Genomic DNA, 26853 nt, shown 5'->3' with positions numbered 1-26853 from the left:
CTTGCTGTCTTGCCATGTGACATGCCGATTCCTTCACGTTCCATCAAGAGTAAAAGCTACGTGAGGCTTCCCCAGAAGCTGAGCAGACGCAGGCACGATACTTCCTGTACAGCTTGCAGAATCCTGAGCCAATTCAACCTCTTTTCTTTATAAATTACCCAGCCGAAGGTATTTCTTTATAGCAATGCAAAAACTAATGTAATTCTCCACACTCCTACCACTTCCTTGCATCATTTTTTCCTCTTTTTCTCACCATTTGACATATTATATGCATTTTTCTGACATACATACGTTTTCCTTTTTTTTTTTTTTTTTTTTTTTTCCCCGAGACGGAGTCTTGCTCTGTCACCCAGGCTGGAGTGCAGTGGTACAATCACAGCTTACTGCAGCCTCAACCTCCCTGTAGCTCACTGTAGCCTTGATCCTCCCACTTTGGCCTCCCAAAGTGCTGGGATTACAGGCCTGAGCCACCGCACCTGACCAGAGTTTACTTTTTTTTTTTTTTTTTTGAGATGGAGTCTCACTCTGTAACCCAGGATGGAGTACAGTGGTGCAATCTCGGCTCACTGCAACTTCCACCTCCCAGGTTCAAGCAATCTCCTTGCCACAGCCTCCCAAGTAGTTGGGATTAAAAGCATTTGCCACCACGCCTGGCTAATTTTTTGTATTTTTTTAGTAGAGATGGGGTTTCACCATGTTGGCCAGGCTGGTCTCAAACTCCTGACCTCAAGTGATCTGCCCACCTCGGCCTCCCAAAGTGCTAGGATTACAGGTGTGAGCCACCATGCCCGGCCCAGAGTTTACTTTTTTAACAAGTTCTCCAGTTTTGTGGATGCTGCTGGTCCCCCGACCACACTTTAAGAACCACAGCCTTGGGAGACAAGATCTCTGATCATCATTCCTGTTTACAGCCAGGAAACCCAGGCCTGGTGATGCTGAATCTGAACTCTTACCACAGTGTTGTCTGCCTCCCAGGCACCAGCCTATCCCTAAGATAAACTATTAATAGATCAGATGGCACAAACCATGAGGCTGCCCTCCAAACATGTTTTATGGAGTCTACAGAATGCTAAAAACTTCCTTAATGACTAACACTACAAAAAGGACATTTTTATAAATAAATTTACATACTGAGCTTTTCCTTGAAGAATCGTAAGATGTGGCCTCACTAGGCACTCCTTCCCACCAGATGATGACTGAGGGGAGCTGGGTGGCTAGGTGCCACTCCCTAATGTCCTACACCAATGCATCACTTCTGTTACCTCCCAGGCCAACTCTATGGGCACTTGACTTTGCAAGCCCTAAATTTTAACCCCTCCTCCTGTCTTTGAGGAGCCAAGCGCCTGGAGAGGGGATACCTTTACAGATGCCCTCAACCTTGGGCCACAGCTAAAGGCACAAGGAGGAAAGGCCCATAGAGGAAAGCAGAGGAAAGAGAAGTCACTTCTGGCTTGGGCAGGGAGGAGTAGGCATCAGTGAGGATTTCACTGAGGTGGTGGCATTTAAGCTGGGCAAGAGTTTGAAGGTGTATGGCACTGTTCACAATAGTAAAAGCCATGGAATCAACCTCAATGCCCATCAATGAAAGAATGAATAAAGAAAATGTGGTACATATACACCATGGAATACTATGCAGCCATAAAAAAGAACAAGATCATGTCCTTTACAGGAACATGGAAGGAGCTGGAGGCCATTATCCTTAGCAAACTAATGCAGGAACAGAAATTGCATGTTCTCACTTAGAAATGGGAGCTAAATGATGAGAACACATGGACACATCCATGGGAACAACACACCCTGGAGCCTTTCAGAGGGAGGAGGGAGAGGATCAGGAGAAATAACTAATGGTAAATAGACTTAATACCTGGGTGATGAAATAATCGGTACAACAAACCCCCATGACACAAGTTTACCCATTTAACAAACCTGCACATATACCCATGAACTTAAAAGTTAAAAAAAAAATTTAAAAACTAAAAAAAAAAAAAAAAAAAAAAAAAAAGGCCCACCTTCCTGAGCTCCTGATAAAGGGCTGAACTGAACTGAATTCCAGCAGGAGGAAATGGACCAGCCAGCACTTTCTCACCTCCCAGGATGCACCATTCCCAATGCCCACCTTACCCCCCACCCATAGCTCTCCAACTCAGTCCAATTCTGGTAAGAGTGGACAATGGCTGAGTGCTCTGGCCTGACTGGGTGACCTGCAGCAGTCAATCCCTCTGGGCCTCCAGTGCCTCATCTAGAATACGGGAAGAATCTTAGTTGCTTCTCTATTCTCCCCTTTCAGGGCTGTTGTGGAGGGGGCATGGTGGGAAGAAGGGAACTATGAAAGAGAGGGGTGAAAGAACTCCAAAAGAAAAGATTCTTTTGGCCAGGTGTGGTGGCTCACGCCTATAATCCCAACACTTTGGAAGGCAGAGGTGGGCAGATCACTTGAGACAAGGAGTTCGAGATCGGCCTGGACAACATGATGAAACCCTGTTTCTATAAGAATTACAGGCCGGGTGCGGTGGCTAACACCTGTAATCCCAGCACTTTGGGAGGCCGAGGCAGGCGGATCATGAGGTCAGGAGATCAAGACCATCCTGGCTAACACAGTGAAACCCCGTCTCTACTAAAAATACAAAAAATTAGCCAGGCGTGGTGGCGGGCGCCTGTAGTCCCAGCTACTTGGGAGGCTGAGGCAGGAGAATGGCGTGAACCCGGGAGGTGGAGCTTGCAGTGATCCGAGATAGCACCACTGCACTCCAGCCTGGGCGACAGAGCAAGACTTCACCTCAAAAAAAAAAAAAAAAAAAAAAAAATTACAAAAAAATTAGCCAGGCGTGGTGGCACACGCCTGTAGGCCCAGCTACTCAGGAGGCTGAGGTGGGGAGGATCACTTGAACCCAGGAGGCATAAGTTGCAGTAAGCCGAGATCTTGCCACTGCACTCCAGTCTGGGTGACAGAGCCAGATGGTCTCAAAAAACAAAAACAAACAAAAGGATTATCTTATTTCAGGGGACTGCAAATCTCCTTTTGAAAATCTTTCCTCAAACTAGACCTCTCCCATCCTGATTGCTCATTCAAGTTATTCATTCAACAGCTATCTATGGAGCAGCCACTGAGAACGTGCTGGGGGACCAGCCAGCGCTTGCCCTCAGGGAGCTGGAGACCCTGGCAGGAGGGCACAGATGTGCATCAAGGCACTCCACAATTGCCCAGTATTATGCTGGCGGGCTGCTCTCAAAGCTGAGAGGGACTCTGAGCTCAATGTGGGGTGGGATCAGGGAGAGCTTCTTGGAGGAAGTGGCATTTATACCCAGGCCTAAAGGATGATGAGATTTAAGTAGATGAAGAGAGATGGCCTCTGCTCCCAGCATCCCCCTCTGCCAATATGGGCCTCCTGCCCCACCAAACTGCTGAGTCTCACACTCCCTGGGAAAACCCTGTTCCTTTCAAGACTCAGTTCAAAGTACACAGCAGGTGGGTGAATGAATGAATAATGCCCAACCAGGGCCTTCCTATTCAAACTCATGTATTCTTTCCTTTCTTCAAATACTTTACCATCCAGCATGAGTCAGAAGAGACCTGAGAGGCCTCCTACCCTACCCTTGCCCAGCCCATTCTCCAGAAAAGCAAACAGAGGTTGCACCTGGTTTGGTGTCTGGTGGAGGCAGCAGCAACTCCCGGAGCTGGGAGTCTTTAACATCCTCGATCCAGCGGAGGTCCAGGAGCCGCAGGGCTGGCAGTGGGGCTGAGCCCAGGGCAGAGACAGAGAGCCAGGAGCAGCCAGAGAGCACCAGCTCCTGCAGGCCTGCGGAGAGGGGGCAGTCAGGAAGCAGGTGCTGTGAGGACTCCATCCCAGGCCTGTCCCTGTCCCCACCCTGTCCTCCGTACCACACACCCTACCTTGTAGTCGGTTCAGAAGCCACATGAGCTGCTTCTTGGAGACACCTGTCCAGCTGAGGTCCAGGGCACGGGGCTGGCGGCGAACCACACCACTGAGCATGGGCGGGGTCAGTGACTTCCGCCGGCTCAGGTCCATTCGAGGCCACAGACGCTTGTCATAGCACCTGGCGGCCATAGGGGGGAGACAGAGACCTCAGCCCTCAGCTCTCAGCAGCCCACAGTTCCCAGGCTCCCCAGCTCCAAGGGTGCACCCCAGCTCTCTTCTGGCCACACAGACAACAGGGTAGCAAGAAGCACCTGACCTCAGCCAAGAGCACTGGGATTGGAACCCAACTCCATCACTAACTGGAAATGAGACCCTGGGCAAGTCTGTTCCTCTCCCTGAGCCTCAGAAGCCTCGTTTATGATTGAAGGCAATAGCCCCCCCACTCTGCCTGCCCACAGGGCAGCTGTCAGGTCACATGGGCTCATCCCAGCTGTGGGCCTCCCAGCATAGAAAGTGTGCTGCCCAACACATACACAAATGCCACGCATGCTGCCTGATGTCATGCCAAGGGGACTGGTGTTATCCAGTCGTCTCCAGCCACCCTTGGGCTTCTTGATTCCTGACTGAGTTCTGGTGCTCATGGGTCCTTGCCTCCTTTACTCATCTCTGCTTCTGATCCACACCTGTCCCATCTTGACAGCCAGCTGCCCGCAGCTGGACTTACAGCCCTAATATCTTCCCTATTACATTACTGTGTTCCTCCAACTACAATGTAAATTCCACAAGGGCAGATTTGCGTTTTCCACTTTTTGAAAAAAAATTTTTTTTGAGACAGGGTCTCACTCTGTAACCCAGGCTGGACTCAGGCTCACCGCAGCCTCAACCTACTGGGCTCAAGCAATCCTCCCACCTCAGCCTCCTGAGTAGCTGGGACCACAGGCACATGTCACCACGCCTGGCTAATTTTTAAACAATTTTTTTGTAGAGACAGGGTCTCACTATGTTGCCTAGGCTGGTCTTGATCTCCTGGCCTCAAGCGATCCTCCTGCCTTGGCCTCCCAAAACACTGGGATTACAGGCATGAGCTACTGCACCCAGCTGCCCATTTGTAATGAATGAATCAAGCTAGTAACTACTTAAAGCTTCCACTGACCACTCTCCCCCACCTCCTCATCTACAGCATTTCATTTATTCACTCTGATTATAGAAAGCGTTATAGGTCCCAAGTATTGAAGCTACAAAGATGAACGAGTCCTAAGCAACATTAAACAGGTTTCCTAACCCGAGCACTCCACAGGCCTCAACAGACTATCTAACATGCAGTGGGCTGGGTGCAGTGGCTCACACCTGTAATCCCAGCACTTTGGGAGGCCGAGGTGGGTGGATCATGAGGTCAGGAATTCGAGAACAGCCTGGCTGTTCTACTAGTGAAACCCTGTCTCTACTAAAAGTACAAAAAATTAGCTGGGCATGGTGGCGGGCGCCTGTAATCCTAGCTACTCGGGAGGCTGAGGCAGGAGAATTACTTGAACCCGGGAGGCGGAGATTGCAGCGAGCCGAGATCGCACCACTGCACACCAGCTGGGGCAACAGTGAGAGACTCCATCTCAAAAACAAACAAACAAACAAACAAACAAAAAACATGCAGTGAACTGGAGAAGGGCCTCTCAAACGTACTTCCCCAGGAATCCTTCCCCACCTCTCCCAAGGTAATCTAGTAACATTTTGTAGTACACTGAAGTTCCTTTGGACTCAGTTTGAGAACTCTCTTCTCTGAGTTCAGTAGTTCTCAAAGGCATGTCCAGAAATGCCTCTGAGACTCAATAGACTGTGTCAGAAGCAGCAGGCCCAGGAAGCTTTTTTTTTTTTTTCTTGAGACAGTGTCTTGCTTAGTCACCCAGGCTGGGGTGCAGTACTGCGATCACAGCTCACTGCAACCTTAAACTCCTGGGCTCAAGCCATCCTCCTACCTCAGCCTCCTGAGTAGCTGGGACTACAGGCACATGCCACCACACCTGACTTTTTTTTTTTTTTTGAGACAGAGTTTCGCTCTTGTTGCCCAGGCTGGAGTGCAATGGTGTGATCTTGGCTCACTGAAACCACCATCTCCCAAGTTCAAGCGATTCTCCCGCCTCAGCCTCCAGAGTAGCTGGGATTACAGGCATGCGCCACCACGCCCGGCTAATTTTTTGTATTTTTAGTAGAGATAGGGTTTCTCCATGTTGGCCAGGCTGGTCTCGAAATCCTGACCTCAGGTGATCTGCCCACTTTGGCCTCCCATAGTGCTGGGATTACAGGCGTGAGCCACTGTGCCTGGCCTATTTTTTTATTTTTAGTAGAGACAAGGTTGTCCAGGCTGGTTTTGAACTCCTGAGCTCAAGCGATCCTTCCCTTGGCCTCCCAAGGGAAGCTTTCTCTTGCCTCCCTCCCTGCCCTCATGACTCTGAAAGGCTTTTCCTTGTAGAAGCCCTGGGCTGGGGCAGTGATTCCCAAGCTCCAGTATTTGCTGTTCACTTATCTGCGTAACATGATTTATCTTTGAATCATCTCCTCTTTGCACTTAAAACCAGTATTGTTGCCGGGCGCGGTGGCTCATGCGTGTAATCCCAGCACTTTGGGAGGCCGAGGTGGGTGGATCACTAGGTCAGGAGATCAAGACCATCCAGGCTAACACAGTGAAACCCCGTCTCTACTAAAAAAAAAATACAAAAAATTAGCTGGGCGTGGTGGAGGGCGCCTGTAGTCCCAGATACTCGGGAGGCTGAGGCAGGAGAATGGCGTGAATCTGGGAGGTGGAGCTTGCAGTGAGCCGAGATCGTGCCACTGCACTCCAGCCTGGGCGACAGAGCGAGACTCCGTCTCAAAAAAAAAACAAAAAAAAAAACCCCAGTATTGTTTCACATAAATATGTTAATCTTAAAAATAAACACAAAAGTCCAAGTGTGGTGTAATCCCAGCACTTTGGGAGGCCAAGGTGGACAGATCACGAGGTCAGGAGATTGAGACCATCCTGGCTAACACGGTGAAACCCCATCTCTACTAAAAATACAAAAAATTAGCCGGGCGTGGTGGCGGGCACCTGTAGTCCCAGCTACTTGGGAGGCTAAGGCAGGAGAATGGCATGAACCTGGGAGGCGGAGCTTGCAGTAAGCCGAGATTGCGCCACTGCACTCCAGCCTGGGTGACAGAGCGAGACTCTGTCTCAAAAATAAATAAATAAATAAATAAAACACAAAAAAGACCAGAGTTATTAAATCCTAGCCAGGTGTTGCTGTGGCTTTAGGCTACTACCTGAAGACTACTTTTGTTAAACAGGGAGATAAGTATCAGAGAAGTGTTAGAAAAAGCACCCAATAGTGGCCAGGCGCAGTGGCTCACGCCTGTAATCCCAGCACTTTGGGAGGCCGAGGCAGGCGGATCACGAGATCAGGAGATGGAGACCATCCTGGCTAATACGGTGAAACCTCGTATCTGCTAAAAATACAAAAGATTAGCCGGGCGTGGTGGCAGGCGCCTGTAGTCCCAGCTACTCAGGAGGCTGAGGCAGGAGAATGGCGTGAACCCAGGAGGCGGAGCTGGCAGTGAGCCGAGACTGCACCACTGCACTCCAGCCTGGGCGACAGAGCAAGACTCCATCTCAAAAAAGAAAAAAAGCACCCGATGGAGAGACTTCCTTCCAATGGAAAGACTTCCTTTCCAAAACTCACAGAGGGATTAAGCCATATTTTTGTGTCACTGAAAAATGCCAGACCTACTCCAGAGGCCCAGTGTGTCATTTCATTATTTTTTTCAGACAAAGTCTCACTGTCGCCCAGGCTAGAGCTCAGTGATGCAATCATAGCTCACTGCAGCCTCAAACTCCTGGGCTCAAGTGATCCCCTTGCCTCAGCCTCCCATGTGGCTGGGACCACAGGTATGCTTAGCTAATTTTTTCTTTTTTAATAGAGATGGGGGTCTCACTATGTTGCCCAAGCTTGTCTTGAACCCCTGGGCTCAAGCAATTCTCCTGCCTCAGCCTCCCAAAGTGCTGGGATTACAGGCGTGAGCCACTGGGCCCAGCCCTGGTGTGACGTTTTAGAGAAGGCTGAGGGCACAGACACCAAGGCTTCAGTCCGAACACCTTCACCCCTCTGCCACTCGCTCTCCTGTTCCCTCCTACCCTCATCCTGCTTTTCTGGCATTCTAGCCTCTCCCTCTCCTGATTCCTTCCTCTCAACTAATAAACATCTGCAAATCTCTCCAATTCAAAACATGAAAAGGAAAAAAACCAACTCATGCCCGACCCAGCTTCTACCCCTAGGTCCTGCCCCTTTGCTCTTTCTGTGAGCAAGAAAATCGGTGACATCTGCTCTATCCAAAACCTCTCTCTGCCCACTGTGACCCTGCCACGACTGCCTCCCAGCTTAACTGTCACCACTTCCTTGAAGCCACTTCCCTTCCACGGTCCACAGCTGGAAGGAAGCCCCTTTCCCTGGGGGCACCCACAGGACCCCAGTTGTGTTTCTGTATCATACTCCACAACAGCCAGGCCACACACCTGCCCACCTATAGACACAGTGCTGTCTGATGCCAACACGTTGTGGCACATGCTGTGCCTCTGCCAGAAATGCCAACCCAGAGCCTTCGTGGCTCGGCTCCAGTGCCTCCTCTTCCAGGAAGTCTCCCACACCTTCCTTGGCTACAGCTCATCAGTCCCCCTGCTCTTGTACAACCAGGACACTGGGGTTAAACCTCAGAGGGACAACCAACAGTCACTGAGGGCCCTACTGATCCCAAGTATCTGGCTTCCACTGGGCACGGAGGAGGCAAAGATGACAGGTTCCTGCCATACAGTCAGGGAGACATGGACAGTCCGCAGTAACTGAGGTGACAAGGGGCATGGTAAGAGTCACCTCAAGGACTGGGTGGGGGAGCCTCCTGGGGGGACAATGCCTGACCTGAGACTCCGAGGAAAGCAGTAGTTATTTCAGCAAGGGGAGGGGGAGGAGGGTGTGTGTTCCAGATGGGCAAGAACCTGTGTCCAGGCCCACAAGAGACAAGACGGAGAGCTCTGGAAACCCCAGGCCACAGGAACTCATCATCATAACCAGAGTCACGCTGATCACAGTGACTTCAGCACTACTAACCAGCCATCATCCAGGGTTCACTGTGTGCCAGGCACTGTCCCATGCATTAAGCACTGAACCTCACGCCAGCCCTAGGAGGTCAACATTACCATCATCATCTCCTTTCTACAGTAAAGAAAATGAGGCAAGCGTGTGCGGTGGCTCACGCCTGTTAATCCCAGCACTTTGGGAGGCCAAGGAGGGCGGATCACGAGGTCAGGAGTTCAAGACCAGCCTGGCCAACATAGTGAAACCTCGTCTCTACTAAAAATACAAAAATTAGCTGGGTGTGGTGGCACGCGCCTGCAGTCCCAGCTACTCAGGAGGCTGAGGCAGGAGAATCACTTGAACCCAGGAGGCAGAGGTTGCAGTGAGCCGAGACCACAGCATTCCACTCCAGCCTGGGTAACAGAGTCAGACTCTGCCTCAAAAAAAAAAAAAAAGGTCGGGCGCGCTGGCTCACGCCTGTAATCCCAGCACTTTGGGAGGCTGAGGCAGGTGGATCATGAGGTCAGGAGGTCGAGACCATCCTGGCTAACATGGTGAAACCCCGTCTCTACTAAAAAACAAAAAAAAAAAAAAAAAAAGAAAAAAAATTAGCCAGGCGTGGTGGCAGGCACCTGTAGTCCCAGTTACTCAGGAGGCTGAGGCAGGAGAATGGCGTGAATCCGGGAGGCGGAGCTTGCAGTGAGCCGAGATTGTCGCCAGCCTGGGTGACAGAGTGAGACTCCGTCTCAAAAAAAAAAAAAAAAATGAGGCCCAGAAAGGTTGAGAAATGTATTCAAGGTCCCACAACTACCAAGTGGTAGGTAGTAGAGGCGGGGTTCCACCTAGCCCGTCTGGGTGGAAAGCCTGAATTCTGAGGAGAGAAGAGGCAAGAGTGGAGCTGCAAAGGAGGGATGGGTGTCATGTCAAGGAGGGCTGGAATGCCAGGCCATAGACTATCATGGTCACAGAGCCCAGAGCTGAGGATGTGAGCTATGGGGATCTAAATCCCAGCTCTGCCACCTCCAGGCTTTGGGGGGCCTCAGGCAAGTCACTCGCCCTGTGTGGGCTTCCATTTCCCAAACTGTACAGTGGGGTGAAGAACAGCGCTTCCTTCAGAGGTTGCTGTGACAAGGAAGGGACACAGCTCAGGGAAGTGGTTGGTGCAGTCGGTAGGCCCAGTTCATGTCCATATGTCCAACAGGACTGCGATGGTGGGCGTCTGTTGTGAGGGCGACAGGGAGCCACAGGTGGGTTCTTTCTAAGCTGGAGAATGACACTGAGACAAGAGGCAGGGAAAGCTCTAAGAGCCAAGGTGTGCCGTCGTCCCAGAGACATGTGGCTTGATGCCAAAGTCCCCTAACCCATTCACTTCCTCCTGGACTCCAGCCACCCCGCAATGAGTCCTCTCCTACTAGGCCGACCTGCAAACCCTCAATTCCAATCCTAACCCTCCCTCTTGCAGAAGCCCCCGGGAACAGGGAGCTGGACCAGCCCTTACTGCCCTCTGAAGGCTCACGGCCCCTAGGGCTCCAAGCACTGCCAGTTCCGACCTCTTGTAGCTCTCTGGGCCCCGATGCTACCACTGCCCTCCAATCTGTCCACCTCCAGACCCTACCCGACCATGATCACCTTGTATTCCAGTCCCTTCCTTGCTGCCTTCTCTCTGTCCATGTCCTCAAAAGCCCCAACCCTCTTCCTTGCATCTCAATAACCCCTGCACGCCTTCCCTGCTGCCCTCTCTCCACTCTTCACTCTTCACTCTTAAGGGATCACTTCCCTTTCAGTTCCAAGAAAAGATGGAAGCCACCAGACAGGAAAGCCTGCAGCCTCCTGCTGTCCCCTACACACGCCTCTCCAGCGCCACCCTCTGTACATCCTTCCACACTGCATCCTGCTCTCTTGTCCTTCACTCATTCAGCGAAGATGATCTCACTGCCCACTGTCCGCCAGGTGCCATTAGACACCAGGAACACAACAGGAACAAACGAATCAAGTCCCTGCCTGGAAGCTGATGTTCTCGACTCCATTCAATCTGGCTTTGGACCCCCAACCCCCAGAGCACAGCTGAGGACACTAAGGCCTCCTGGTAGCAAAATCCAACCACCACTTCCTGGTCCTTGATCTCCCACGGCCTCTCACCAGCATCCTCCTTGGCTTACCACATTCCCTCCTGCCTCGTTCTCTACTCGGGGGCACACCTCTGGCCATGAGCTCCTCCAATTATCTGGCTAGGCTCTTGCTCTAACTCACAAGTACTGATGTATGATCTTTTGCCCTCTTCATCAAAGCTGCTTGGCTTGCTACCTACAGGCTGAGAACTCCCAAACGTGTATCTTTCTCCTGAGCATCAGACCCACACGTCCTGAGCACACCACACACGTCAGTCATCTGAGCTCTTTACCTTCCTGGAAACTGCTCCTCCTGAGCCTGGGGAATGATGCTGTTGCCCATCCAGGCTCCTGGGTCAGAAACTCACCTGAGGGTTACCCTGCTGTCCCCACTGCCAGTTAGTCAAGTCCAAGCCATTCCACATTTTTTTTTTTGAGACAGGGTCTTGCTCTGTTGGCCAGGCTGGAGTGCAGTGGCTCAATCTTGGCTCACTGCAACCTCCGCCTCCCGGGTTCAAGCGATTCTCCTGGCTCAGACTCCCGAGTAGCTGGAATTACAGGCGCCCACCACCATGCCCAGCTAATTTTTGTATTTTTAGCAGAGACAGGGTTTCACCATGTTGGCCAGGCTGGTCTCAAACTCCTGACCTCAGGTGATTCGCCTGCCTCGGCCTTCCAAAGTGCTGGGATTACAGGCGTGAGCCACCGTGCCCGGCCATTTTTTTTTTTTGAGATGGAGTTTCACTCTTCCTGCCCAGGCTGGAGAGCTATGGTGTGATCTCGGCCCACTGCACCTCCACTTCCCAGGTTCAAGCGATTCTCCTGTCCCAGTCTCCCAAGTAGCTGAACTACAGATGTATGCCACCATGCCTGGCTAAATTTTTTGTATTTCTAGTAGAGACAGGGTCTCACCATGTTGGCGAGGCTGGTCTCGAACTCCTGACAAGTGATCCGCCCGTCTTGGGCTCCCGAAGTGCTGTGATTACAAGTATGAGCCATCATGCCTGGCCCAAGCCATTCCACTTCTTAAAAAGTCCTTACACCGGGCGTGGTGGCTCATGCTTGTAATCCCAGCACTTTGGGAGGCCGAGGCGGGTGGATCACCTGAGGTCAGGAGTTCGAGACCAGCCTGACCAACATGGAGAAACCCCCGTTTTTACTAAAAATACAAAATTAGCCAGGCATAGTGGCGCATGTCTGTAATCCCAGCTACTCGGGAGGCTGAGGCAGGAGAACTGATTGAACCCAGGAGGTGGAGGTTGTGGCGAGCCGAGATCATGCCATTGCACTCCAGCCTGGGCAACAAGAGCTAAACTACATCTCAAAAAAAAAAAAAGTTCTTGGCCGGGCGCAGTGGCTCACACCTGTAATCCCAACACTTTAGGAGGCCAAGGTGGAAGGATCACTTGAGGCCAGAAGTTCAAGACCAGCCTGGGTAACAGCGAGCCCCTGGTTCCTGCAAAAAAGTTTTAAAAATTGGCCAGGCACAGTGGCATGTGCCTGCAATCCCAGCTACTCAGGAGGCTGAGGCAGGAGGATTGCTTGAGCCCAGGAGGTTGAAGCTGCAATGAGCTATGACTGCACCACTGTACTCCAGCCTGGGCAACAGAGAGAGACCCTCTCTAAAAAAGAAAAACAAAACAAACAAAAATAAGGCCTGGCAAGGTGGCTCACACCTGTAATCCAAGCACTTTGGGAGGCCAAGGTGGGTGAATCACCTGAGGTCAGGAGTTTGAGACCAGCCTGACCAATATGGCAAAACCCCGTCTCTACTAAAAATACAAAAATTAGGCCAGGCGCAGTGGCTCATGCCTGTAATCTCAGCACTTTGGGAGGCTGAGGCAGGCGAATCACCTGAGGTCAGGAGTTCGAGACCAGCCTGACCAACATGGTGAAACCCTGTCTCTTCTAAAAAAGTGCAAAAATTAGGCAGGCGTGGTACCGTATGCCTGTAGTCCCAGCTACTCAGGAGGCTGAGGCAGGAGAATCGCTTGAACCTGGGAGGTGGAGGTTGTGGTGAGCTGAGATTGCGCCAAGGCACTCCAGCCTGGGTGACAGAGCAAGACTCCATCTCAAAAAAAAAAATTAGCCAGGCATGGTGGTGGGTGCTTGTAGTCCCAGCTACCTGGGAGGCTGAGACAGGAGAATCACTTGAACGTGGAAGGTGGAGGTTGCAGTGAGCCGAGAGCATGCCACTGCACTTCAGCCTGGGTGACAGAGCAAGGCTCTGTCAAAAAAAAAAAAAAAAAAAAAGTTATCATTGCAAATCTCTCCCCACTACCCCTGCTTCTGTGCCCAGACCTCGCAGAGCCTCCTGAGTGGTCCTGCTGTGCCCCCACAGGCCCCTGCTCTGCCCGGCTCGTGTCCTTTTCATTGGGAGGTGCCATCTGATTGAGTGTTTAGTACCCTCCAGGCACTGTGCTGCGGGCTTTGTAGGAATCACTTCACTTAATCCCCAAAAGGTGAGTATTCATACAAACCCAGACTACAGATGAGAAAACCAGGGCCTCAAGAGGTATCGCTCTCCACACATGGCCACGCAGCCAGTGAAACTCAAGGATGCAGAGTCCAGGGCCCACACTGGGAGCCATTGCCTCTCGCTTTGTCTGCTTCGGGCCACACGTCTCCCGTTGAAGCAGAAATCAGGTCCCTTTCAGTTCTGGCTCCCACATGCCAGGCACAGAGCTGGCCTTGAAGGGGCCTCAGCAAACATTTCCTTGATTAGTACATGAGGCAGGTGTCATCCCCTGCAACTTCTGTAACTATCTGCTTCTATGTTGCAGCTTAACTATATGCTCTTCAAGGGCACAGATCTACATTCTGAGGCCTGACAGGCTGTGCGTTCAGCAACTATTTGCAACTAAGTAAATACTGGCTACAATGAGAGCTCTTTCAAGTAGTTCCTATTTCCCAGGTACTGTGCTCAGTTCTTCATGTGTATTAGCTCAAGAAAACACTATGCAAGAGCGTTGATTATCTGGTTTTTCAGATGAAGAAACCGAGGCACAGGAAGTTAAGTGACTGGCCTAATGGTTTATAGCTCTTCAGCTATAACCATAACCGGTAGCTCATGCCTGTAATCCCAGCACTTTGGGAGGCTGAGGCGGGCGGATCGCTTCAGGTCAGGAGTTCAAGACCAGCCTGGCCAACATGGTGATACCCTGTCTCTACTAAAATTACAAAAAAAAAAAAAAAAAAATTAGCCGGGTGTGGTGGTGGGTGCCTATAATCCCAGTTACTCAGGAGGCCGAGGCAGGGGAATCGCTTGAACCCGGGAGGCAGAGGTTGCAATCAGCCAAGATCATGCCACTGCACTCTAACCTGGGCCACAGAGTGAGGCTCCGTCTTAAAAAAAAATAAAAATAAAAAGATTCTGTCACAGGCAATTTGCCTCCAGAGCCTGCACTCTGGTACTTTTGGCTGCACAATCTCTGCAGATACCAGAAGGCACCAGTGGCCCAGACTTGGTCCCAAAAGAAGACTAGAGTTTGAGTTCAGCCATGAACTTGTACTGTAACTTCAGGTATCCCTTTTCTCTCACAGGGCTGCCATTATGAAGGTCAAATCAGCTAACCTTGGTGCAGTGCCCAACAGGGAGCCTGGTCCCAGCCACAGCGAGTCCCTGGGAAAGAGCCTGATAGCCTCGTTTACTGCAACATTTCTTGGGCACTTATACCGCCCTTTGTCCCGTGCTAGGGACGTGAAGATAAAACAGACACAGTTATCTGCTCCCACCCCAGCAACTGATGGGAACATGAAATGAGTAAATGAATGAAGGCTTGTCAACACGCCGAAGGCCTCTGCTTGCTCTATGAGGGGAACAGAGTGCTGTGGGAGTTTCATAGAGAGGAGGAGGAATTTTGTTGGGGGCGAGATCAGAGAGGAAGACAAGAGGCTCGGGAGGATGACCGACATTTCTAATAGAGGCTGGGGGGCTGGGGGATGGGCAGAGGGCATTAGTGGTGGCTCCAGGGCAGAAGGAAAGCAGGAACCGAGTCAGGAGGTTCAAGCCTGGCTGTCTTTCGAGGGCAGGGGCAGCCCAGCACATGGCGTTCTCCTAAGTGAATGGAACCAATCGTCAGACTGTTTTCGGAAGTGGCAGTATGAGAAGTGACAATGCAGTACAGCACTCAGTGCTATGGCTGACACACACTAGACACTCAATATAGTCGCTACTATTAGGAGGAAAGGCACTGGAGCCAAAGGGCCTAGGTTCCAATGCCTAGTTCTACCACCACTTCTCTTCCACATGACCTTGGGCCTCAGCTTCATCTGAAAAAGGGGAAAATAACCTCTACCTCAAAGTTGTCTAGGGGGTTAAATGAGCCCATAAGTGGAAAGTAGCCTGCACACGGGAAATACGGAAGGATGCACTGTAATCTGTGCATACTAGAGAAGTATCCCCAATATAAAAGCAAGGCCCAGAGAGGGCCAGAGACCTACCGCAGGTCACCCAGCAAGCGGGAAGCCTGCTGGCCACGGAACGCAGGCCTGTCCAGGCCACTCACCAGCGGCTCCAAGTTCGGCAGACTCGCATGCAGATACACAGCTCCCGCGGCCCGAGGTGCTGGAAGACGCGAAGCCAGGCGGCCCGGGGCAGGGGGTGGTCGGATCCAGCAGCCAAGGGGAGTGTGTCGGGCTCAGGGCTTCGAGGCGGGGGCCGCACCACGTGCCGCTCCAGCTGTGGAGGCCGGGGTGGTGGGGCTGGGCCCAGGGGCCAGCTGAGTAGGGGCCCCCCACTGCCAGGGCGCACAGCCCGCCGCCCCCCACGGTTCTCCTTCTCGCCAGAGCTGCCCCGGGCTGGCCGTCGCCCATTCCGGGCCTCGCCGGGGGCTTCGTCCTCACTCAGCGATGTGCCCGAAGAGTCGGAGTCGGAGTCTGAGTCCGAGGAGGAAGAGGAGGTGTCAGGCACCCGTTCCAGCAGCTGGCACATCCGCTTGAAACGCTCTAGCTTCTCCCTCTGCGGGGACGGGGACGGCACCGCTGGGCCCTCTGCAGAGGCCAAAGGCGGCTTTGGTTTCTGCAGGGAGACAGGGTTGATGCTGTTCTAGGGCCTGGGATACATTTTCCCACCCCCCTACCCCGAGGAGTCACCAGGGGATGAACAGCCCGAGGGACAGTCCTGAGTTCCAGCCCTGGCTCTGCTCCGGACAGTGAGAGACCTTGCTAAAGCCACTGCCAGGCCCTGGGCCTCAGTTTTCTTATTGGTAACAGAAGAGTGCTAATTAAAATAATTTCCAGCCGGGCGCAGTGGCTCACGCCTGTAATCCCAGCACTCTGGGAGGCCGAGGCGGGAGGATCACGAGGTCAAGAGATCGAGACCATCCTGGCCAACATAGTGAAACCCTGTCTCTACTAAAAATACAAAAATAAACTGGGCATGGTGGCACAAGCCTGTAGTCCCAGCTACTCGGGAGGCTGAGGCAGAATTGCTTCAACCTGGGAGGTGGAGGTTTCAGCGGGCCGAGATCACGCCACTGCACTCCAGTACGGGCGACAGAGCGAGACTCTGTCTCAAAAATAAAATAAAATAAAATAATTTCCAGCCCTTATGGGTTTGCATGGCTTAGGCAGTTCCAAAAGCAGTAGGGAATGGAGAAATGAGAGACCCTGCTTTGAATCCTGGCTTGCCCTCAACTCTGGATGGCTGTGGGAAGCCCCTGCTTCATCATCCACTACACGGACCAGCTGGAGCAGGCGTCTGTCTATCAACTGAGGGTAACAGTGATTGGCCCCACGAGCAGCACCCCGCATCGGCTGACTCATTCCATCCTCACAGTATTCTAACACAGTGGTGACCTGGGCCACTCTTTTCAGACATGAGGAAACCGAGGCTTAAAGGCACAAAGTGACTTGTCCAAGGTTACAAACTGACAAACAGCAGAGGCAGGATTTGGACCCAATCAGGCGGACTCCTGTGTTGAGTGTCCGTGCCAAGTAATACCTCAATTCTGGCTTTACTGTGTGACTTGGACAAGTCTTCAAACCTCTCTGGGCCTTATTTCCCTTCAATCTGGGTAAATTTTATAGCTTACAAAGCTCATTGCCTTTCAGAACCTCGTAAGACTTATACACTTCTGCGGGATAAGGGGGCAAGGCAGGCAGCAGCATCTCCACTACATGGATAAAGAAACTAAGGCTCAGGGTGGCTGACAAGCTGCTAGGATCATACAAAGAGTAAACGGTCGGACAGAAATTTGAACTCAGTTCTCTCCCCTGTAAGGCTTGGAAAGATGAGGCAAGTAGGTCAGATGAGCCCTAAGGGTTTTTGGGAAGTCAGGGGCTCCTGTGGCCTGGACTCAACCCACCCTCCCACCCAACTCATCCCAGGTGTCCGGACACCCACCGTGGCCAAGTGGGGCTGGGGCAGAACAAGGTGAGCAGGAAGGGACAGGTCTTGGGCTCCAGGGTGAAGGGTGGGGCAAGGGAAGGTGGGAAGGGGAGGGAGGAGGTCCCCGGCACACCTCCCAGTTCTCGGGAGGGAGCCCAGGGTGGCAGGATGAGAAAGCCTGGCTCGGATTCAGAACCCTGGGGGGCAGCAGGCCCGGGCCGCCTGGGTCCGATCCTCGGAGGAGGCAGGCGTCTCCACCCACCTTCTTCAGGTGCCTCTCTCGGCCTCCTTTCACCTACCAGGGTGAGAGGGAGATATGGAGGAAGGGAGAGACCCCATTAGGCCCTCATGGGCCAGAAATCTAAGGTCCATGCCCTCCTCTTAGACTACAAGTCCCAGAAGCCCCCGTCCCAGGGATAACTCTGAGCATGCTCACCTTGCACCCAGCGTCCTAGCCCACTGAGCATGCTCCATCTCCTCTTTCCTCCCCTCAGGCCCTCTCCAGCCCCTCCCTCCTCTCATGCAGGGATGATCTGAGCATGCTCTCTCCTGCCTCCCTAACCCACCCAGGGCTCCCAAAGCTTCCTGCAGTGCCAGCTCACCTCACCTGTCCCCCCCCTCCTCCACACTGAGCATGCTCTATCCTCCCCCCACCCAACTCCTGAACTACATCTCCCAACAGTCCTTGGGGAACCCACAGAGCACGCTCCCAGGCCCACACAGCCCCACAGAACCAGCCAGGACTACAGCTCCCAGAATTCCTCAGGACAAGCCTAGTGAGCGTGCTCCGTGGCTCACCTTTTTCCTTGGGGTGGGAGGCTCATTCCCTGCCTCCCTTTCCTTTCGTTTGGGGGGCCCAGGCACGTCCTCCGGGGGGGGCCCGGCAGGCAGGGGGCCCTTGCGCCTGGGCGGGGGCGGTGGAAGCGGTGGCTCCTCTGTCAGCTTCCATCCGCTCCCCAAGCTGGCGCCCTCCTCGCCGTTGTCGGCCCTACGGCGGCCAGGCCCCTCACCTGAATCCTAGGCGGGACAGAAGCTGGGGGTGAGGACCTGCACAGCTCCCCAACACCCACCTACCCACAGCTCAGCCCAGCCCAGCCCCTACCTTGCTGGTGCGGCCTTCCTGGGTGCAGCGAGGGCACTCCCAGCAGTTGGGGATCTCTGCATTGATGACACCCTCAGCCTTCCCCATCTGTAGGCAGGAGGGCAGTGAGTGGGGGGTTGGCCAGGAAGCCCAGAGCCAGGGTGATCCCCCACTCTCTGCTCCCTGACAATCTGCCCCACCCCAGACGCCGGGGTCCCAGGGCCATCACCTTCAGGCAGCCGGGGTGGACGATCTCGTTGCAGATTGTACACTCCATGAGGCTCAAACCAAATTTCTCTTCCTCTCCCTCCACCGTGTCCTCCTTCCCAGCCTCCCCACACAAGAGGCACACAGCTGTGTGTGGGAGCACGGGCTGTTGGGGGAGAGGGGACATCAGGGGCCCCGAAAGCTAACAACAGGGGAAAGACCCTTCCTTCTAGGGACCCTGGCCAGGTGACGGATGAGGTGCAGCACCCACGGGTCAAGCTGGGTCTGATCCTGAGTTTGCTCCTTTTGGGAGTGTGACCTCAAGCAACTGATTTAACCTCCTTAAGTCTCCGTTTCTGCATCTGCAGAATGGGGCTAAGAATCTTTCCCTCGCAGGACTCTTGGGAGAGCAAAATAATACGCGAGAGACACTGATATGTAGCTGTTATCACCTGTGACTGTTATAGCTGGACCCAGGGCCAGTGGGACCCTGAAATTACAGCTGGCTTTGGAGAGGAGGACAGTAACACTCAGAGGGTGGGGAAGACAGCTTAGGGTGATACCAAGGTCGCTCCATGAGCAGCCCAAGGGTTGCTCTGAATCCCACAATGAATCCGGTTTTGGCAAGACCCCCTGGGAACACTAGGGAAGCCACTAGTCTTGGGGAAGTGGGGGCAGCCTCAGACAGTGTGACTTTGAGGAAGACAGTGGTAGGACTGAGTCATAACAAGGATGCGGCAGGATCAAGGAAGATGCAGGTAGGGGGAGAAGGAAAAGTGAGGCAAGGGGTTGGGGGATAAAGGAAAAGAAGTGAGGGGCTGAGGGGTGAAGAGACCAACCAGGAAAGAGTGGCAGGAGGAAGAGAGGGAGGTGGCAGAGTGGGGAGGGGGACGCAGGATGCAGCTGGCTCCTCGCGGCTGCTGGGGAGGGGCCGTGCTCTGGAGCCCAGGGAGGCTCAAAGGATGAGGAAGGCAGGGCGGAAACCCATGCTTCCCCGATCCCTACTGTGTGCTGGGCCTTGTGGTAGACACACTCGCATCCATGCCATTGTTTAATCTTTACAACTCAGCAAAGGAAACATTTTACAGAGAAGGAACCTGAGGTTCATTCAGCATGATTTGCTCAAGGTCACATAAAGGGTGAGCTTAGCCTCAAATCCAAGACCACCCTGGGTGAGGAAGAGGCCAGAGAAGGGCAAGACCTGTTGGAAGGGGGCCATCTCTGGGGATGGGCCCCCTCCTGCACAGAGACATCTTGGGGGGTGATAGAGCAGGGGCTGGGCATTCTGCGGGGGTGTGACTCTGAGAGCTGGGAAGAGCCTGAAAGTGGGGACTGGGTCAGATCCTTCTGTGCACCTGGACACTGCCCCCAGCTTGGAGCTGAGGACAAAAATGGATACTGACACAAACTAGTGAATGAAGGGAAGAAATGAACGAGTGAACAAACAGCCACTCCACAGTACAGGCTGGGAGGCAGTCACCAGCCATTCCAAGAAGGTATTGGGAAGGGTGGGCAGAGCCCAAAGGTGGGGGCAGAACTCACGGCAGTGCACTGCCGGAGCAGGCACGACTGCTTCATGCGCCCGGGCCCCCCGAACTTCTTCATGTCTCGGCAGAAGTGGCAATCCCCGCACTCAGTTCGCACACAGGCCCGGCAGCGGCGGCAGCGGGTTCGGCGTCGGCGCGCTCCGGCCCCCGGCCCCCGGCTGCTCGACGACATTGGGGGCGTCAGCAACGCCGAGGGCTGTAGGTGGATGGTGGCAGGGTCAGATGGGCCCACTGGGGCCCTGGCCTGGGAGACCCCTGACAGGTCCCTCCACCTACAGGCAGCTAGAGCCTGCCCTCTTCCTCAGGGGGACAAGGAGGTCACCCCCTTCTGTGTATCTGGGGGCCAATCCTCTACTCAAGGCCTGTCTCCCTGCAGCAGCTCAAGAGGAGCCCAAGAACTGCTTCCTGGCCTCGCTCCTCTACCGCCTCCTCAGGGTCCCTTCCCTAGCCCAGGGAGCAGGAGGGGACACCGAGGCCCTCTCCTCTGCCATCCCCACACCGGAGCTCCTTGGAAAGGCCAGGCACTCCTTGTCCGTGGTGTTAGCTTGGAGAGATCCCAACTCTTCCCCTGTTATCCGAGTGTAGAATATCCCAGGCTCTCCCCAACCTCAATCTGGGGTAAACTGCCCAGATTCACCTCCCAGATACCCAGAGATTCCTAGACGGAAGCTCCGGACTTTTCCTCCCCCCCGCCCCACCAACCTTTTCATCCACAGCAGCCATCCAATCTCTCTTCCCCTCAACCCAGTTATCCTCACCAGATCCAGCGAGATCCTTGCCCCCAAGTCCCTAACGATCTCCTCTGCCCACTAACTCCCCAGAGCTCTGACAGCCCTGGAGATGCTTCTTCAGAGACCCTTCTCAGCCCAAGATCTCAGCCCCTCTTGTTCCCCACAGGGTTCCCTCCTCCAGGACACCCTCCTCTTGGATCCCTCAGGTCCACCTGGGCAATCTCCCAAATTCCTTGGGATTCTAGAATCCAGCCTGACATCTTCCCAGAACTGAGGATGGGCTCAGTCCTAGGACCCCCAGCTTCCCGGGCTGCTTTCATCCCTAATCATCTAGAATCCCTTGGGCTCCCCCTCCCATGGAAACCAGATCCTCCAAGATCCCATGTGGAATTAGAAGCCTGGAGGGTCTCTTCCCAGTCAGTCTTACCCCAGATTCCCCCTTTCCGGGGACTTTCATACCCATCCATGGGGCTAAGGGGCCCTCCAGCGCTCCAGGGGAGGGGCCTGGAGGGCGGCGACTGCAGGCGGGGGTGGGGGCTTTCAAGGGGAAGCAGGGTCTAGGAAGGAGGGCCAGTTCCCCAGGGTGGAGAGGTCATAGGAAGGAGGGCTGGAGATGAGTTTGGAGTAGAGAGAGGGTGAGGCTGGGGGCGGGGAAGGTAGAGAGAGGCCGGGCTGAGGATGAATGGGAGTGGGCGCTGCCCAGGTCTGGGGGTGAGGAGGAGCCGCATGAACCCACCTCACACGTGTCCCGGGAGCCATCTCTCCCTTCTCGGCAGCTCCCGGCGGGTCGGCGGCCATCGGCGGCGGGGGGGCCGGGCGGCGCGGGGCGCGGAACGCTCAGAACGCCGGGGTCCACGGCCCCCCGAGGGCGCTCGGCCCCTCCCTCCGGCGGAGGCCGGGACGGCGGCGAGTGGAGATGGGGGGCGCCGGGGGCGAGGCCCTCCCACGGGCTGCGGCGCGGCCCTTCCAGGGGGAGGTCCTGCTCTGGGAGGCTCAGTCCCTCAGCCCCCCCAGGCCAACGGGGGCTCCTTGGGCGCAGGGTGCTCAGCTTCTGCCCGGGGCCCACTCAGTCCCGGGTCCGAGTCCCAGCTCCCCTCCCCCCACCCCGCCCCGCCTCTCCCCAGCGCCCCTGGCCCTTTAACTGGCCCCTTCCCGGACCCCACTGCCCAGGGGTCCAGTGCCAGGCCTGGGCCCCCCCCACCGTTTCCGGGGTTCAAGCCCGCCCACCGCCGGTTCCCGGGGAGGGGGGGGTCGCTGTAACCTGCCCCCCTCCCCTGGGCCCGCCCCTGGACTGCGACCCCCTGCCCTACGGCTGCGAGGCGAGCGGAGGGGGAGGTGAAGGAAGCTGCTCCGGCCCCGCCCCCCCCAGCCCGCGCGCACCCCCGACCTCTCCCCCTCCCCCAAGCGCGCGACCCTCGGGAGATAGGGATTTAAATAAAATTTGAATAAATCCCCCTCCTCAAGCGGGAGGGTGGAAGGAAAGGATAGAGGGGGAGAGGGAAAGGGGAAGGGGGCAGTTGGGGTGTCTCAGCCCCCCTGGTCCCCCAGCCCCGCGCTGCTACGGCCCGGGGCCCTGGCCGCCTCTCTCATCCCTCCTCAGCTCCTTCCTCCTTCCTCCTCTCTTCCCCCCTCCCCTCCCCTCCCTCCTCCTTCCCTCCTCCTCCTCCTCCTCCCCCTCTTTACTCCCTCCTTCTCCCAGAGGAACCCCGCCCCCTTCCCCCTCCTTCCTCCACCACCTCCACTTTCCAGGACGAACGCACGCAGGGCTCGACGGGAGTTGTAGTCCTGCGGCCACTGATGCTACGGGGGAACAATAGGACGCTGGGGACAGCGGGAACTACAAACAGGACGGCGGAGGGCGTGCCCAGCCGGGAGCCGAGGATGCCGGGAGTTAGAGTCCCGTTGCCCCGAGGCTCCCAGTTGCAGAACATCGAGAAGGAGAGGGAACGATGACTACAAACAAGATGGCCTTCTCCCCCGACCCGACCTCCTTCCCAGGCACTCACACGCCCTCCTGTCCACAACCCTCCGCGTGTGTGGTACCTGACGGGAGTCGCAGTCCATCTGCTGCCTTCCCGCTGCCATTTCTACTCGTCAGGAACAATGGAAAGGTGAAAAGGAAAGAGGACTACAAGCAAGATGGCGGAAGAGGGACATACACCTGACTAGTAGTCGATCTTACGAGGTGCGATGGGATTAGTAGTTTTATAGCCTTCCAGTGTTCCTTAAGAATGGCGGAACCAGGAGGACGAGGAGACTACCGTAAAGATGGCAGGCTACCTAGCCTCTCCCGGTCTCCGCTTTCCACCACCTTGGGCACCTCGCCCGCCTGTGGTCTCGAAATCCCCCCCACCAGTGGCGCACGGCCTGACGGGAGTTGCAGTCTCCCGGCTCCCGTCTATCATCTCAAGTCGAGACAATGGAAGGGGATGGGGCGGGGCCACCGGCAAAGATGGCGGCTGCAGGGCCGGGGCGACTGCGACATGGGATGTGTAGTCCAGGCGTCTGGCCTCTTCCCTGCGGAAATGAGGGAGAGGACTACGAAAAAGATGGCGACCTCGCCCCTCGACCTCTGCGCCGGTGCCTGCTGGGAAATGTAGTTCCTTGCCGAGTCCAACAGAGAAAGGACGTCGCTGTTGAAATGTGAATCCCGGCGGACACGCCAAATTGCGAGGCGACGGAAACGGAAAGACTCTTTTCTCCTCTCTCCGCCACCGGCTTCTGAACAGCCTGGCGGGAAATGTAGTCCCAAGCTTTCACTCGCGAGTGGAGGGGAAGGATTTATGTCACCAGTGGGGATCAGTGCGGGTGGGGGAGAAAAACGTCGGGCGATCCGGGAATAAAGAATGTCCGCCTCTCCATGGGGCGAGGACTTCGCGTTTCAGGGGAGGGCCCTTAAAGGAAGGCAGCAGGAATCAGTCTTGTCGAACAGGGGGGCGTGGTTCTCGTCGAGAGTGCATTCACACTCTTGTTCCCTAGAAAGCCTGGGCACCTCCCACTCGATTCCTGCTCCTCAGACCTCCGGGAATCAGTGTCTTACAAGACGTGCGGGCTCCGGGGAAAAGGACCTGGAGTCACAGCGAATCCCCGCCCCGCCCCGGGAAGCCACCAAACCTTGCTTTTTCTCATCTGCAAAATGGGGACAATGGGGATAATGATCCCCACCTCGAAGCACAGTTGTGAGTGTTAAACAAGCCAATGTTCTTGTCACCAAAGTGCCCAACTCTGGCACGGGGCACGCGGTGGTAGATCCCTTTCTAAGGTCCCTTCCAGCCCAGCCGTTCTGGGAGCCCAGGAATCCATGATGCCGGACAGAGTTCGCTCCTGTGAGAAGAAAACTGACCCGCAGGCTCCTCCCAGATTGAACCGACCCCCGCCCCTCCTCATCGGGGTCCTCCAGCGTCTGTTACCGAGCACTGCTCCCAGGGGGCGCTCAATCTCCATTCGACTGAGGTACTACAAACACGATTTCCGCAACCTGGAGTTGGAGGCATTGCAGGCTGTCCAGCCTCATCCCCTGCCTGATATCCAGTCAGCCTTGGAGGCCTCTGCCTAGACACTTCAACTGCCTATGCAAATGGAACGGCTTCTCATCTTTCTGCCGTTTTTTGGTTTTTTTTGTGTGTGTTTTAAGGTCTTGCTCTGTCACTTGGGTTGGAGTGCAGTTGCAGGATCATAGTTTGCTGCAGCCTCGACCTCCTGGGCTTAAGCGATCCTCCTCCCTCAGCCTTGTGAATACCTGGGACTTCAGGCACGCGCCACTACACCCAGCTAATTTTTAAACTATAATTTTTTTTTGTTCAGACGAAGTCTCGCTATGTTGCCCAGGCTGGTCTCGAACTCCTGGCCACAAGTGTGCCTCCCGCCTTGGCCTCCCTAAGTGTTGGGATTATAGGTGTGAGCCAGCAGCCATACCCCTCTTCTCAATCTTCCTTCTCCCCTGGAAAACCTGCTCACTTCTGACCCCAAGACAGCCCCCTCCCCTTCCCTCTGTCTTCTGTGTTTGGCAGACCAGCCCCAGCGAGGACTTGTTGGTTGTGGTTTTTCTATCAGGGAAGTCAATGGCTGGCCAGTGTAGTGTGAAGTCCCAGCTTGGCAGAGACTTGCCCAAGGCTGGATAGGAGGCTTCTTTGCCGCTCAGGCTTTATCAGTCAGGAAATCCTTAGCCCTCCCTAGAGGATTGGCTGTCCCCTCTATCCTCACTGCTTGAATTTGGTGTTGCATGATTGATTTCTACCCTGTTCCCTCTGCTTGAGGGCTATCCTCCCCATGCCCATCTCACTTCTCCACCAAGTTCACTGTTCATCATTTACAGGTCTCTATTTATGTATTTATTATTTATTTTTCTACTTTCCCACTTTTCTAAAAGGTCTCTATTTAAATGCCACTGTCAATCCCAGCACTTTGGGAGGCCTAGGCGGGCGGATCATGAAGTCAAGAGTTCGAGACCAGCAATGGCCAGTATGGTGAAACCCTGTCTCTCCTAAAAATACAAAAATTAGCCGGGCATGGTGGAATGTGCCTGTAATCCCACCTACTCGAGAGGCTGAGGCAGCAGAATTGCTTGAACCCGGGAGGTGGAGGTTACAGTGAGCTGAGATCGTGCCACTGCACTCCATCCTGGACGACAGAGTGAGACTCTGTCTCAAACCAATCAATCAATCAATCAATCACTGTCCTGGCCAGTTGCAGTGGCTCACGCCTATAATCCCAACACTTCGGGAGGCCAAGGTGAGAGGATAACTTGAAACTAGGAGTTCAAGACCAGCCAAGGCAACATAGTGAGGCCCCATCTTTACAAAAATACAAAAATTAGCTGGACGTGTAGTCCCAGCTACTTAGGAGGCTGAGGGGCAAGGATTGCTTGAGGCTGAGAGATTGAGCCTGCAGTGAGCTATGACGATGCCACTCGCTGCATTCAAGTCTAGATGACAGAGCAAGACCCTGCTCCTGGACATACTACTAAGTGCTTTCAGCATTTCATGTGGTCCTCATAAAAATCTTGAGGGCCGGGCATGGTGGCTCACGCCTGTAATCTCAGCACTTTGGGAGGCCAAGGCAGGTGGGTCACCTGGGGTCAGGAGTTCGAGACCAGCCTGACCAATATGGTGAAACCCCATCTCTACTAAAAATAGAAAAATTAGCCAGGTGTAGTGGTGTGCACCTGTAGTCCCAGCTCTTCAGGAGGCTGAGAAAAGAGAATTGTTTGAACCTGGAAGGCGGAGGTTGCAGTGAGCCAAGATCACAGCACTGCACTGCTGCCTGGGCGACAGCGAGACTCTATCTCAAAAAAAAAAAAACCCACACAACCTTATGAGGTAGAATTCCATTTTAGAGACGAGGAAACTGGGACCCTCAATTATGCAGAATGGATGAGTGGTACCGCCAAAATTCAAACCCCAGACTCCCGAACTCATGCTCAGAACTATTACAACATGCAGAAACAACAAATCCAGTCATGTGTGCATTTAATTTGGCATAGCAACAACAACACATTTCTCAGGCAAAATGGATTTCCAGCTTCTCTTGAAAAGTCCTGAAATCTAGTCCAGGACCGTGGATTGTATTTAAAAAAATAAAAATAGAAGAAGAAAAGGCCGGGCATGGTGGCTCATGCCTGTAATCCCAACACTTTGGGAGGCTAAGGCAGCTGGATCACTTGAGGCCAGGAGTTCAAGACCAGCCTGGCAAACATGGTGAAACCCCGTCTCTATTAAAAATACAAAAATTAGCTGGGCGTGGTGGCGTGCACCTGTAGTCCCAGCTACTCAGGATCCTGAGGCATGAGAATTGCTTGAACCTGGGAGGCAGAGGCTGCAGTGAGCCAAGACAATGCCACTACACTCCAGCCTGGACAACAGAGCGAGACTCAGTCTC

General features: G+C 54.2%; 1 protein-coding gene and 1 long non-coding RNA gene across 6 annotated transcripts in view, besides 9 other annotated features; one reads left to right on the top strand and one right to left on the bottom strand.

Annotated features, from left to right (window-relative positions):
- FBXL19 (F-box and leucine rich repeat protein 19) overlaps positions 1–23321 on the bottom strand; it is a 25933-nt gene extending 2612 nt beyond the window's left edge. The window contains exons 1-9 of one of the 5 annotated variants that reach the window (NM_001382780.1): positions 23020–23321; positions 20241–20441; positions 18721–18864; positions 18513–18599; positions 18209–18427; positions 17673–17705; positions 15588–16099; positions 3893–4056; positions 3636–3797 (exon numbers count right to left, since the gene is read on the bottom strand). In NM_001382780.1, the coding sequence (NP_001369709.1) occupies positions 3636–3797; positions 3893–4056; positions 15588–16099; positions 17673–17705; positions 18209–18427; positions 18513–18599; positions 18721–18864; positions 20241–20441; positions 23020–23061 (1564 nt within the window). In that variant the 5' untranslated portion in view covers positions 23062–23321. Of the gene's footprint in view, positions 1–3635; positions 3798–3892; positions 4057–15587; positions 16100–17541; positions 17706–18208; positions 18428–18512; positions 18600–18720; positions 18865–20240; positions 20442–21403; positions 21598–21712; positions 22601–23019 lie in introns of those variants that run through there. The other 4 variants (NM_001282351.1, NM_001382779.1, NM_001382781.1 and 1 more) reach the window with 4 other exon arrangements.
- Positions 2666–3608: an enhancer, noted in NCBI's record as "NANOG-H3K27ac-H3K4me1 hESC enhancer chr16:30953885-30954827 (GRCh37/hg19 assembly coordinates)". NCBI's record gives its function as "activates a minimal SCP1, AML or CMV promoter by ChIP-STARR-seq in naive H9 embryonic stem cells {active_cell/tissue: H9 hESC(naive)}" and the evidence as "EXISTENCE:reporter gene assay evidence [ECO:0000049][PMID:30033119]".
- Positions 4033–4162: a silencer, noted in NCBI's record as "silent region_7401". NCBI's record gives its function as "represses an Ori minimal core promoter by ATAC-STARR-seq in GM12878 lymphoblastoid cells {active_cell/tissue: GM12878}" and the evidence as "EXISTENCE:reporter gene assay evidence [ECO:0000049][PMID:35858748]".
- Positions 10750–11044: an enhancer, noted in NCBI's record as "tiled region #7559; K562 Activating non-DNase unmatched - State 25:Art". NCBI's record gives its function as "activates a minimal TATA promoter and a strong SV40 promoter by Sharpr-MPRA in K562 cells {active_cell/tissue: K562}" and the evidence as "EXISTENCE:reporter gene assay evidence [ECO:0000049][PMID:27701403]".
- Positions 22594–23561: an enhancer, noted in NCBI's record as "H3K27ac hESC enhancer chr16:30933932-30934899 (GRCh37/hg19 assembly coordinates)". NCBI's record gives its function as "activates a minimal SCP1, AML or CMV promoter by ChIP-STARR-seq in primed H9 embryonic stem cells {active_cell/tissue: H9 hESC(primed)}" and the evidence as "EXISTENCE:reporter gene assay evidence [ECO:0000049][PMID:30033119]".
- Positions 22594–24530: a biological region, named in NCBI's record as "H3K27ac hESC enhancers GRCh37_chr16:30932963-30933931 and GRCh37_chr16:30933932-30934899".
- Positions 22682–22841: an enhancer, noted in NCBI's record as "active region_10739". NCBI's record gives its function as "activates an Ori minimal core promoter by ATAC-STARR-seq in GM12878 lymphoblastoid cells {active_cell/tissue: GM12878}" and the evidence as "EXISTENCE:reporter gene assay evidence [ECO:0000049][PMID:35858748]".
- Positions 22882–22971: an enhancer, noted in NCBI's record as "active region_10738". NCBI's record gives its function as "activates an Ori minimal core promoter by ATAC-STARR-seq in GM12878 lymphoblastoid cells {active_cell/tissue: GM12878}" and the evidence as "EXISTENCE:reporter gene assay evidence [ECO:0000049][PMID:35858748]".
- On the top strand, positions 22903–26853 carry FBXL19-AS1 (FBXL19 antisense RNA 1). Its single transcript, NR_024348.1, has one exon. It is a non-coding gene; the product is annotated as an FBXL19 antisense RNA 1 (long non-coding RNA).
- Positions 23002–23821: an enhancer, noted in NCBI's record as "active region_10737". NCBI's record gives its function as "activates an Ori minimal core promoter by ATAC-STARR-seq in GM12878 lymphoblastoid cells {active_cell/tissue: GM12878}" and the evidence as "EXISTENCE:reporter gene assay evidence [ECO:0000049][PMID:35858748]".
- Positions 23562–24530: an enhancer, noted in NCBI's record as "H3K27ac hESC enhancer chr16:30932963-30933931 (GRCh37/hg19 assembly coordinates)". NCBI's record gives its function as "activates a minimal SCP1, AML or CMV promoter by ChIP-STARR-seq in naive H9 embryonic stem cells {active_cell/tissue: H9 hESC(naive)}" and the evidence as "EXISTENCE:reporter gene assay evidence [ECO:0000049][PMID:30033119]".

This window comes from Homo sapiens, chromosome 16, assembly GCF_000001405.40.
Source record: "Homo sapiens chromosome 16, GRCh38.p14 Primary Assembly".
Taxonomy (NCBI): Eukaryota; Metazoa; Chordata; class Mammalia; order Primates; family Hominidae; genus Homo; species Homo sapiens.
Note: the sequence above shows the minus strand (reverse complement) of the source record. Positions and strands in the feature narration are given on the sequence as shown.